A 14322-nucleotide genomic window follows, 5' to 3' on the forward strand; every position below is an offset into this window, starting at 1 on the left:
TCCTCCTGGAAGCCAACCCTGATTTCTACTCTGTACTCCAACTAGATGAGGGATGGGGGAAGTCTGCCTTCTCTCCAGGGGTTGTTACCTGCTTCCTCCTGGCAGGAGAGGGGCTCAGTGAGATACAAGAAGGGGTTTCAGTATAGATAAAAGGGGAGAGGGTGCATTTGGGAGGAAGGAATTATCTCAACAATAAATAGCAGGCTTCAAAATGCATTAGGAGAGTTGCTTCAAGACCATGGCTGTTTTTGGTGATATCAGATATCACCTGTTAGTTAAAGCAAATAAAAACGTTTTTCTTAGTGTATGTTCATGCATGTGGTGGTAGAAATCACCAGGAATAGTGCTAGTGAATGTCTTATGGGATATCTAAATGAAAGAGGTTTAATTTTCTAGTTGTGTCTAGATTTATTACTCTGCCAGAGTGTGGTTTATTGAGCATTTTAATTAATTATTGATTTACTGGTATGTGTGGTCTAATCCATGCTTTTGGAAATATTTACTCAGCAATTTATTGAGGGTCTGTTTTTTGGACTGTTCACAACAACCAGAAATACACTAAGTGATAACACTTTATTGTTTTCAATTTTTTTTTGAGACTGGGTCTTGCTATATTGTCCAGGCTGGAGTGTAGTGGTGCAATCACTGCTCACTGCAGCCTCCTTAACCTCGTGGTCTCAAGCAATCCTCCCACTTCAGCCTCCAAAGTAGCTGGGACTATAGGCATGTGCTACTATCTCCGGATAAGTTTTTAATTTTTTGTAGAAATGGGGTCTTGCTATGTTGCCCAGGCTGATCTTGAGCTCCTGGGCTCAAGTGATCCTCCTGTCTTAACCTCCCAAAGTGCTGGGATGACAGGGATTAGCCACCATGCCTGGCCTTTCTTCATTTTCTGATTTTAAAACATGGCAACTTCTTATGGCAACTTTATGACTTAGGAATGGGTACTATGTCTATTTTTTTGATGGAAAAGAAGCTCAGAGAGGTCAAGTGATTGTTCAAAGTCACAACTGGTATGAGACAGAGGCAGGAGTTGAGCCTACATCTTTGACTTACTTCAGTGGCTGACTGTGAGTCTGGGAAATTGTGAAATCTAAGATCCACCCAAAACAGCCAGGCATGGTGGCTCACATCTGTAGTCCGAGATACTAGGGATGCTGAGGTGGGAGGATCACCTGAGCCCAGGAGTTGGAGGCTGCAGTGAGCCAAGATCACACCACTGCACCCAGCCTGGGTGACAGAGCGAGACCCTGTCTCAAGGAACAAACAAACAAACAAACATACAAACAAACAAGAAAAACCCACTAAAAATAGAACAGAAACAAAGGTTGGGACTCTGTGAGCCTCCATTTCCTCTCTTCTTGGATAAAATGAGGATACCTTGTCTGGCACTTAATAGATGCTAGCTTCTGAGATACTGAAGCAACAATATAGGAAAATATCGTGATTATAGGCAACAAAGCCATGATGTGCCTAAGGCCACAGATCCGGGGCCAGGCTTCTGGAATTTAAGCCCTGACTCCTCTGCTTAATAGCTGAGGCAAACTACTAACTGTGACTCAGTATCCCCATTTGCAAAATGGGAGTAATAATAGTGCCACCTTCAAAGTGCAGCTATGAGGATGGGCAAGTTATTGTTTTCTAGTGTTTAGGTCAGTGGTTCACACATAGTAAGTGCTATGTGAGGGTTTGTTACATCAATGATAAGTACTGGCTGGACGCGGTGGCTCACGCCTGTAATCCCAGCACTTTGGGAGGCTGTGGTGGGTGGATCACCTGGAGGTCAGGAGTTGGAGATCAGTCTGACCAACATGGAGAAACCCCGTCTCTACTAAAAACACAAAAATTAGCTGGGCGTGGTGGCACATGCCTGTAATCCCGGCTACTCGGGAGGCTGAGGCAGGATAATTGCTTGAACCCGGGAGGCGGAGGTTGCAGTGAGCTGAGATCGCGCCACTGCACTCCAGCCTGGGCGACAGAGCGAGATTCTGTCTCAAAAAAAAAAAAACAAAAAACCAAAAAAACTTCCTAGGTCAGCCTGCTGTGCCTTTAGTGCCGAGAACCACTGATTTCTTGAGCAGTCTTGTCACAAACCCTGGAGAACAAAAAGGAATGCTGTATTCATCGTCTTTTTATTCTGTCCTTTCTAGGCAAAAGAAATGCTGTATTCACCGTCTTTTTATTCTGTTCTTTCGAGGCTGGGGCATTTTGGAGCCTTGCTGAGCCTGCAGAGACTGCTCCTCCTGACTACCCAACGCTTAGAGATAGTCAATAATTTGTTTGCAACTTCAGGTTTCCTGTGCAAACAAACAAATCCAGAGCCCATACTCCCCAGCCACCTCCTTGTCAGGCTCTTGCACTCCAGCCCACTCTCCTCTTGCCCCAGTCACCCCAGATAACCAGGAACAGCTCCCACACCCCAGAGCCTACTGAAATGATTCATATTAGCCAATTCTAAGCCTGCTCACCCTGCCTTGCCTGTTCCTTCCTGGGGAAACCACAATAAAATCTCTTGCCCACAGTTTCTCTCACTCCCTTTGCTTCCTGACCACCCATGGTGCTTTCCCCATGTCCCGCCCCCGCCACCCACCCCCCACGCACTGCCCCCGGCCCTATGGCATGGTGTGCCTCCTCCTCTTAGAAACTGTAGTAAGTTATCTTTCAATTGCAATCATCTCCCAATCTCTTGGCCTTGCCATATGTGCATAATAATAAAACCTACATTTAATTTTTTTTTTTTAAGACAGAGTCTCTCCCGTCACCCAGGCTGGAGTGCAGTGGCATGATCTCGGCTCACTGCAACTTCTGCATCCTGGATTCAAGCAATTCTCATGCCTCAGCCTCCCAAGTAGCTGAGATTACAGGCACCCGCCACCATGCCCAGCTAATTATCATATTTTTGGTAGAGATAGGATTTCTCCATGTTGGCCAGGCTGGTCTCGAACTCCTGACCTCAGGTGATCTGCCCACCTCAGCCCCCAAAGTGCTGGGATTACAGACACACGCCACCACGCCCAGCCTAAGTTTTGTATTTTTAGTAGAGACAGGGTTTCTCCATGTTGGCCAGGCTGGTCTCGAACTCCTGGCCTCAAGTGATCCACCTGCCTTGGCCTCCTAAAGTGCTGGGATTACAGGCATGAGCCACCGCACCCCGCCAAAACCTACATTTAAAACAGAAGGCTTCACTCATTCTTCTTACTTGAAATGCTCAGGGATGTTTAATTATCCAACACTTCTTGGATGTTCTTGGCAAACCTCCTTCCTTCATTCCTGCAGTTAATTAAAACCGAACCTAACAGTTTTTTCATGCTCTCCTGGGGCCAATTTTAGATATAGAGCACGTGACTCCCACTGCAATTAATTTTTTTCTCTGCAGTTGAAACGGGAGGCTGGAAGAGGATTTGAATGTAACGCCTTTATCCCTTGACAGTAGCTCAATACTGCTTGAGTGAAGATGGTGTTAGTGGGTTAAGCACTTGGAAACAGTTCTTATCTCAGACAGGCAACCAAAAGCCCCCGTCCTTTATGCCTTCCAGCTACTGTTTTGTCTAGGTTTACAAAAGTGATTTTAGGCCGGGCGCAGTGGCTCATGCCTGTAATCCCAGCATTTTGGGAGGCTGAGGCAGGCAGATCATTTGAGGTCAGGAGTTCGAGACCAGCCTGACCAACATGGTGAAACCCCCGTCTCTACTAAAAATACAAAAAAATTAGCTGGATGTGGTGGTGCCTGCCTGTAGTCCCAGCTACTCCAGAGGTTGAGGCAGGAGAATGGCTTGAACCCGGGAGGTGAAGGTTGCAGTGAGCTGAGATCGTGCCAGTGCACTACAGCCTGGGCAACAGAGTGAGACTCTGTCTCGAATAAAACACACACACACACACAAAACAAACAACAAAAAAAGCGATTTTATCCTGGTGTTCCCTGAAAGGGCTAAATATGCAAAGTGGGCCCCGAATGCTGAAAGACCTGAGAACCAAAGAATGAGGCAGACAAATCCAGTCTGTAGGTAAAGATTGTTTGATTGGGGGAAATTACAGACAGAAGTGTGGTCTTGCGCGGCTGCAAGACAGGTAGGTCTCTGCACTGTTACTCCTCAGACCCAAGGCTTATATACCATAGGGAAAGACTATATTTGCTCAAGCAAGACAAAGAAAGGCAGCCCTCCAAAAAAGGCAGGAGAACTACATGCATCATAACTTATAATTTGTGCTATAGTGACATCAAAGTTGACATGTTCTTACACTAAGGACAGTATTAAATAAAGTTCTGATGGGTGTCTCTCACTGAGTATGCTCATGGGTATGCCTTGGTGGGCTCAGAACAAGGTCAGGAAAGACATGTGACTTTTACTTTTGTGCAAAAAAACAGGATACGTAGGACTGTGCAATGCTGGAGGCTGTCTTCCCAGCCTACGGATCAAATACCTGGGAATTTCACTGTATCACTCTTTTTTTCTTTTTTTTTGTTTTTGAGATAGAGTCTCACTCTGTCACCCAGGCTGGAGTGCAGTGGCACCATCTTGGTTCACTGCAATGTCTGCCTCCCGGGTTCAAGCGATGATCATGCCTCAGCCTCCCGAGTAACTGGATTACAGGCACCTGCCAGCACGCCTGGCTAATTTTTGTATTTTTAGTAGAGAACGGGTTTCATCATGTTGACCAGGCTGGTCTCGAACTCCTGACCTCAGGTGATCCGCGCCCAGCCTTCATAGTATCTCTCAATCTTAAGTCCACAGCAGTGTGTATTTTGGGGAAAGGCAGGGATTCAGACGTGATACAGACAGTTCCACCCTCATGTGTGTGTCCTCCCATCACCTGTGTTCAGGTGTTATTGGTATCAGCAGTGAGTTTTGGATAGTTGTGTTGGTGAGAGACTGAATCTGTTTCCTCCCCAAAGCAGCATTCTCGGTTGGTGTGTGGAAGTTGCAGATACCAGGTGTGGAGACAAAAGTGATTCCATCTCGGATGATAATCTGCTGGGTTGACTTCTGATTAGCCTCAGTTCCATGAATGCCTCCTGCTCCCTACCTTATTTATTTATTTATTTTGAGAAGGAATCTTGCTCTTGTCACTCAGGCTGGAGTGCAATGGCACAATCCTGGCTCACTGCAACCTCCGCCTCCCGGGTTCAAGCGATTCTCCTGCCTCAGCCACCAGAGCAGCTGGGATTACAGGCGCCCGCCACCACATCTGGCTAATTTTTGTATTTTTAGTAGAGATGGGGTTTCGCCATGTTGGCCAGGCTGGTCTCAAACTCCTGGCCTCAAGTGATCCACCTGCCTCGGCTTCCCAAAGTGTTGGGATTACAGGCATGAGTCACCGTGCCCTGCCTCTACTTTATTTAATACTGTCTTTAGTGTAAGAACATGTCAACCTTGATGTCACTATAGCACAAATTATAAGCTATGACTCATGTAGTTCTCTTGCCTTTTTTGGAGGGCTGCCTTTTTTTGTCTTGCTTGAGCAGATATACCCTTTCTCTATGGTATATAAGCCTTGGGCCTGGGGAGTAACAGTGCAGAGATCTACCTGTCTTGTGGCCTCCCAAGACCATGCTTCTGTCTGTAATTTCCCCCAATCAAACAATCTTTACCTACAGACTGGATTTGTCTGCCTCATTCTTTGGTTCTCAGGTCTTTCAGCATTTGGGGTCCACTTTGCATATTTAGCCCTTTCAGGGAACACCAGGATAAAATCACTTTTGTTAGACACAGAAAAAATAGGGCCCGGAAGACACCAAGGAGGAGGGCTTGTGGTTGCATGTCTGAGATAAGAACTGTTTCCAAGAATTTCTAAAAACCCCACAAGAAATTTCTTCCTGTTCTTCACACATCACCTGCATTGCAGACTTGCATGTTTTACACGTGTGCTTATGTTTCTATGACAAGATTTATCACCAGGCATTCTTTAGGAGTGCAGTAATTCAGAGAAGGTGCTCTTGGAAGGACGTTTGCCCGGTAATAGCATCTCCACTAACGAACTGATGACAACTCTGGCTTTGAGCCTCTGGAACCAATGAACTCTGTTTCCAAGCAGTTTACAAGAACTTCTCCCTTTTTGCCTATAAGACCTTTCCTTTACCCTTCCCTCACTGGATGCACTCATGCTTTGCCATTTGGTGAATCCTGGATTAGAATCTTCTTTTCCTGCTCCTGAATAAATTCAACATATTTGGAGATAGTTTTCATGCATATATATGTATAGACATAACCTTGGTATATATATGTATAGACATAACCTTGGTATATATATGTATAGATATAACCTTGGTATATATATGTATAGATATAACCTTGGTATATATGTATAGATATAACCTTATTATCTATACATATATCTGAAAACTCTATATAAAATAAATTATATGTGAGAAACTATATATAACTGTATATATTATATTATATATTATATATAATGTATATAGTTCTGTATATATTGTATATATAATATATGTAGTTCTATATATAATATATAATATGTATTATAACATATATAATATGTATTATAACATATATTATGTATTATAACATATATTATATATTATAACATATATAATATACAATATATAATATATGTTATAATATATAATATATGTTATAATATATTATATATAATATATACAGAACTTTATATATTATATACAATATATAATATAATATACACAGTTATATATAGCTTCTCACATATATAACCATGTAACTATATATTATATATAATGTATTATATAATGTAATTATGTAATGTACATTATAATATATAGTACATATATAATGTAACTATATAATAATTATATATAATATATAGTTGCATGGTTATGTATGTGAGAAACTATATATATGTGAGAAACTATATATAATGTATATTATATATTATATATGATATAATAATTTTATATAATATAATATAATTTTATATTATATAATATATAAGATATATAATAATATATATAATTATATAATATATAATACATATAATTATATAATATATTTTTATATTATATAATATATAATACATATAATATATAATATATTTTATATTATATATTATATAATATATATAATATATTATATAATATATAATATATATAATATATTATATAATATATTATATAATATATTTTTATATTATATAATATATAATATAATATATAACATATATAATATATAATATATAACATATAACATATATAATATATAATATATAGTTCTAAATATAGTTGTATATAATATATAATATAATATATAGTTCTAAATATAATTACATATTATATATAATATATAGTATAATATATACAGTTATATATAGTTTCTCACATATAGTTTGTTTTATATAGAGTTTTCATATATATAGATAATAAGGTTATATCTATACATACATAACAAGGTTATATCTATACATATATATACATGAAAACTATCTCCAAATATGTTGAATATAGTTATATATAGTTTGTCACATATATATGAGAAACTATACATTATGTATAAATATATAGCTGTAAATATATCATATATGTTATGTAATATTATATATATTATTATATATTATGTTCTTATATATGTACATATAATATGATATATACAGTTACATATAATATATATGAGAAACTATATTACATTATATATAATATATAGTTACATGGTTATTTATATAGTTTCTCATATATAGTTTACTTTTATATATAGTTTTCATATACATGTTTAGATATAACCATTTATAGTTTCTTATATAAACTATGTATATATATAAGGTTATATCTATACATACATATATATATGCAAAAAGTATCTCCAAATATGTTGAATTTGTTCAGGAATGGAAAAAGAGGATTATAATCCAGCATGTCTATTTATATATCTTATATCTGTATATGAGAAACTATATATATATGTATATGAGAAAAATAATATATATTTATGTACATGAAACATGATATATATTTGAAATATGATACATGATATATATTTTTTATTATTATACTTCAAGTTCTAGGGTACATGTGCACAACGTGCAGGTTTGTTACATGTGTATACATGTGCCATGTTGGTGTGGTGCACCCATTAACTCGTCATTTATACCAGGTATATCTGCCAGTGCTATCCCTCTCCCCTTCCCCCACCCCATGACAGGCCCTGGTGTGTGGTGCTCCCCACCCTGTGTCCAAGTGTTCTCATTGTTCAGTTCCCACCTATGAGTGAGAACATGACGTGTTTGGTTTTCTGTCCTTGAGATAGTTTGCTCAGAATGATGGTTGCCAGCTTCATCCATGTCCCTACGAAGGACATGAACTCATCCTTTCTTATGGCTGCATAGTATTCCATGGTGTATATGTGCCACATTTTCTTAATCCAGTCTATCATTGATGGACATTTGGGTTGGTACCAAGTCTTTGCTATTGTGAATAGTGCCGCAATAAACATACGTGTGCATGTGTCTTTACAGCAGCATGATTTATAATCCTTTGGGTATATACCCAGCAATGGGATGGCTGGGTCAAATGGTATTTCTAGTTCTAGATCCTTGAGGAATCGCCACACTGACTTCCACAATGATTGAACTAGTTTACAGTCCCACCAACAGTGTAAAAGCGTTCCTATTTCTCCACATCCTCTCCAGACCCTGTTGTTTCCTGACTTTTTAATGATCGCCGTTCTAACTGGTGTGTGAGATGGTATCTCATTGTGGTTTTGATTTGCATTTCTCTGATGGCCAGTGATGATGAGCATTTTTTCATGTGTCTGTTGGCTGCATAAATGTATTCTTTTGAGAAGTGTCTGCTCATATCCTTTGCCCACTTTTTGATGGGGTTGTTTGTTTTTTTCTTGTAAATTCGTTTAAGTTCTTTGTAGCTTCTGGATATTAGCCCTTTGTCAGATGGGTACATTGCAAAAATTTTCTCCCATTCTGTAGGTTGCCTGTTCACTCTGATGGTAGTTTCTTTTGCTGTGCAGAAGCTGTTTAGTTTAATTAGATCCCATTTCTCAATTTTGGCTTTTGTTGCCATTGCTTTTGGTGTTTTAGTCATGAAGTCCTTGCCCATGCCTATGTCCTGAATGGTATTGCTTAGGTTTTCTTCTAGGGTTTTTATGGTTTTAGTTGTGACATTTAAGTCTTTACTCCATCTTGAATTAATTTTTGTGTAAGGAAGGGATCCAGTTTCAGCTTTCTACATATGGCTAGCCAGTTTATATATATATATCACTTTAATATAAATAATATATTTTATATACATGAAATATTATATATATTTGATATATGATACATGATATATATTTGATATGAGATTATTTACATATATGAGAAATGATATATATTTATATTTAATGTATAAGCTTATGTGTTTATATTTATATAACAATACAAATATATAGTATAAATATGTATTGAATATATTCTTAAATATAGTCTTATTTCTCATACATATGAGAAACTCTATCTATCTATCTATCTATCTATAAGGTTATATATATATATAAAGTTGCAAAGTGTTAAAGAACAGAGCATGGGGATCCATTCTTGGTTAGGTCATCGTCATGGAGAAATAACTGAATCACCTTGACCATTAGCCTTCTTTTGACCTCTTCTTTCACTAGAGTGTTAGGATTTGGGCATTGTTAGGTTATTCGGAGCCCTGGTTTGAATTCCTAAATCCCAGAATTGTGTTTCCCACTAAGCAGGGGTTGGACCATCTGTATACGGAGCCATTAACCACACACAACAGCCAGGGATGGTGAGAGAGCCCCAGCTTTCCTCACTCTGTTGAAGGAAGCATGTCTTGGAGTTGTTCATCTCTTCTGCACTTTTGCTTCTCTTTCCATGACTTGATATCTGCCTTTAATAGGTTCCTGCGCTTTCAGGTTAAATGCCCATTCCTTGGACTTAACCCAAGGATATATTGGCTGCTTTGGCCTGATGCTCAGCACTGCCAGGTATGAACAGCACCGTGGGTGACATTGGAAAGCAGCAGAGGCTTTCTCAGCCCTGAGATAAACTTCAGTTCTGACCTGCTCGGGAAAAGGCTATGAGATGCAGCGAAAGAGAAACATCTTCCTCAAAAGATAAGCTGAAGTTGGCCAGGTGCCGTGGCTCACGCCTGTAATCCCAGCACTTTGGGAGGCTAAGGCGGGCAGATCACCTGAGGTCAGGAGTTTGAGACTAGCCTGGCCAACATGGGGAAACCCCGTCTGTACTAAAAATACAAAAATAAGCCTGGCGTGATGACGCATGCCCATAGTCCCAGCTACTCAGGAGGCTGAGGCAGGAGAATCGCTCGAACCTGGGAGGTGGAGGTTGCAGTGAGCTGAGATCACGCCACTGCACTCCAGCCTGGGAGACAGAGCGAGACTCCGACTCAAAAAAAAAAAAAAAAGATAAGCTGAAGTCAAAACCACAGTGAGATGAGTTGCCACCTTATCCTCATTAGGATGTCTACTGTAAAAAACTCCCCCAAACCAAAAAAAACCACAAGTGTTGGCAAAGATGCGGAGAAATGGAAACCCTTGTGCATGTTGGTGGAAATAGAAAATGGTGCAAATATGATGGAAAACGTATGGTGGTTTCTCAAAAATTTAAAAATTGAATTACCATATGATCCAGCAATTTTACTTCTGGGCATATACCCAAAAGAATTGGAAGTAGGATCTTAAGGAGATGTTTGTATACCTATGTTCATAACAGCGTTATTCACAGTAGCCAAAATGTGGAAGAAACCCAAAAGTCCATTGATAGATAAAAGGATAAACAGGCGGGGCACAGTGGCTCACGCCTGTAATCCCAGCACTTTGAGAGGCCAAGGCGGGCAGATCACCTGAGGTCAGGAGTTCGAGACCAGCCTGGCCAACATGGTGAAACTCAGTCTGTACTAAAAATACAAAAATTAGCTGGGCATGGTGGTGGGCGCCTGTAATCCCAGCTACTTGGGAGGCTGAGGCAGGAGAATGGCTTGAACCCAGGAGATGGGGATTGCAGTGAGCCAAGATTGGCCGTTGCACTCCAGCCTGGGTGACAGAGTGAGACTTTCTCAAAAAAAAAAAAAAAAAAAAAAGGATAAAGAAATGTGCTATACTTATACAGTGAAATATTATTCAGCCTTAAAAAGGAAGGAAATTCTGCTCATGCAAAGCCATGAATAAATCTTGAGGACATCATGCAAAGTGAAATAAGCCAGTCACAAAAAGTCAAATACTGTAGGATTCCACTTATACGAGGTATCTACAGTGGTCAAACTCATAGAAACAGAAGGTTGAATAGCAGGTGCCAGAGGCTGGAGTTGCGGAGGTGAATAGGGAGTTATTTAACAGGTACAGAGTTTCAGTTTTGCAAGATGGAAAAGTTCCAGAGATTTGTGGCTCAACAACATAAGTATAGTTAACATTACTGAACTGTACATTTACAGGTGGTTATGATGGTAAATTTTATGTTTGTGTACTTTACTATTTGAAAAACAATCTGGGAAAGAAGAAAATGTTAACAGGCCAGAGGCAAGGTAGAAGTGGATTGCTTACAAGCCTCACAGATAATGACAGTAGCAGGGTACGGTGGTGTGCACCTGTAGTCCCAGCTACTCAGGAAGCTAAAGTTGAAGGACAGCTTGATTCCAGCAATTTGAATCCAGACTGGGCAACATAGCAAGACCCCATCTCTAAAAAAAGATAGTAATAATATCAAACACTGTTACAGCCTCAATGTTCCCAGTTACTTTCTAAGTGGGTTACAACTGTTAGCCCATTTAATCTTTATTCTCACATTACAGGGGAGGAAAACCAGGCACAGAGGTATTAAGCAGCTTGCCTGGAATCTAATAGCTTATGAAGAGTAGAATCAAATTTTCAACCCAAGAAGTCTGCTTCCAAGTCTTCATTCTTGCCAAGTATGCTACACTTCCAGATACACACAATTGCAACATAAACCAAGTTGAACATTAATGGATTCTTTAAACAAGGTCAGGTGAATCTGTCAGGAAGAGTGTCAGGTGGGAGAAACCAGGATGGTCTTCGCTGAGAAGGTGGCATTGCAGGTAGTCTTTGATGGCTGGCCCCATTTTGAAAGGTGCTGGCAATGGTGGGGTGGGCGAGTGGTAGAAGAAGAAGGTGTGAAGGAAGAGAAAGGAACTTTATTGTGTGTCGGTGATATTCAAGGCCCTTGAGGCTGTTATTTCTGCAAATATTTATGCTTTGGTGACACAATGGGGGTGTCCAAGATAAAAGACCTATAGTTTTCTTAAAGTATCTTTTTCTGGTTGTAGTGTCAGGGTAATTCTGGCTTTGTAAAATGAGTTTGGAAGTGTTCACTCCTCTCCATTTTGTTTTTTTAAATAAGAGTTTGAGAAGGACTGACATTAATTCTTCTGTACATTTGTTTGGTAGAATTCATCAATAAAGCCATTTGGTCCTGGGCTTTTCTTTCCTTTTTTTTGAGATGGAGTCTCGCTCTGTCGCCCTGGCTGGAGTGCAGTGGCGTGATCTTGGCTCACTGCAAGCTCCGCCTCCTGGGTTCATGCCATTCTCCTGCCTCAGCCTCCTGAGTAGCTGGGACTACAGGCGCCTGCCACCATGCCCGGCTAATTTTTTTTGTATTTTTGGTAGAGACGGGGTTTCACCGTTTTAGCCAGGATAGTCTCGATCTCTTGACTTTGTGATCCACCCGCCTCGGCCTCCCAAAGTGCTGGGATTACAGGCGTGAGCCACCGGGCCCGGCCAGGTCCTGGGCTTTTCTTGGTTATAAGGTTTTTGGTTACTGATTCAATATCCTTACTAGTCATATATCTATTCAGATTTTCTGCATCTTCATGATTCAGTCTTGGCAGGTCATGCATTTCTAGAAATGTATCAATTTCTTCTAGGTTATCTAATTTGTTGTTATATAATTGTTCATAGTAGTCTCTTATGACACTTTTTATTTCTGTGACCTCAGTTGTAATGTCTCTTCTTTCATTTCTGATTTTATTTATTTGCATCTTCTATCTTTTTTCTTAGGTAGTCTAGCCAAAGATTTGCCAGTTTTGTCCATCTTTTCAAAAAACAACTTTTAGTTTCATTAATTTTTCTATTGTTTTTCTGTTTTATTTATTTCTTTTTTTTTTTTTTTTTTTGAGACAGAGTCTCACTTTGTCACACAGGCTGGAGTACAGTGGCACAACCTTGCCTCACTGCAACCTCCGCCTCCTGGGTTCAAACCATTCTTCTGCCTCAGCCTCCCGAGCAACTGGCATTACAGGTGCCTGCCACCACGCCTGGCTAATTTTTGTATTTTTAGTAGAGACGGGGTTTTTCCATGGTGGTCAGGCTGGTCTTGAACTCCTGACCTCAGGTGATCTGCCTGCCTCGACCTCCCAAAGTGCTGGGATTACAGGCGTCAGCCACCATGCTCTTCCAAATTTTTTTTTTTAAAACCCTGGGCCGCACAACATGAGGATGAACTGAGAGCGGCGGCCGTGCCTCCAGCCATCTCTGGCTGCGTATCTAATTTATTTCTGCTCCAATCTCCGTTATTTCCTTTCTTCTGCTAACTTTTGGCTTGTTTTTCTTTTTCTAGTTCTAGTTCCTTGAGGCTTAAAGTTAGGTCATTTATTTGAGATTTTCCCTCATTTTTAATGTAGTAATTTATCACTCTAAACTTCCCTCTTCGTCTGCTTTTGTCGTATCCCATAAATTTTAGTATTTTGTGTTTTCATTTTCATTGTCTCAAGATATTTTCTATTTTCCCTTTTGATTTATTCTTTTTTGAGATGGAGTTTCGCTCTTGTCGCCCAGGCTGGAGTGCAGTGGCATGATCTCGGCTCACTGCAACCTCCCTCTCCTGGGTTCAAGCGATTCTTATGCCCCATCCTCCCAAGTAGTTGGGACTACAGGCACCTGCCACCACACCCAGCTAACTTTTTTTTGTATTTAGTAGAGACGTGGTTTCACCATGTTGGTCAGGCTGGTCTCGAACTCCTGACCTCAGGTGATCCACCCACCTCAGCCTCCCAAAGTGCTGGGATTACAGGCGTGAGCCACCTCACTGGGCCCTTTTTGATTTATTCTTTGACCCATTGGTTGTTCGAAGGCATATTGTTTAACTTCCACATATTTGTGAAATGTTCAGTTTTCTTTCTGCTACTGACTTCTAGTTTCATTGCATTGAGATTGCAAAGGATACTTGACAACGATTTCCACCTTCTTAAATGTGTTACGTTGTGTTTTGTGAGATAACGTGTGATCTATGCTGGAGAACGTCTCACATGTACCTAAGAAGAACGTGTATCCTGCTATTGTTGGAGAGAATGTTCTGTATATGTCTGTTAGGTCCATTTGCTCTTTAGTATCGTTCAAGTGCTTTGTTTCC

This window comes from Homo sapiens, chromosome 19 (assembly GCF_000001405.40).
Source record: "Homo sapiens chromosome 19, GRCh38.p14 Primary Assembly".
In the NCBI taxonomy this organism is placed as follows: Eukaryota; Metazoa; Chordata; class Mammalia; order Primates; family Hominidae; genus Homo; species Homo sapiens.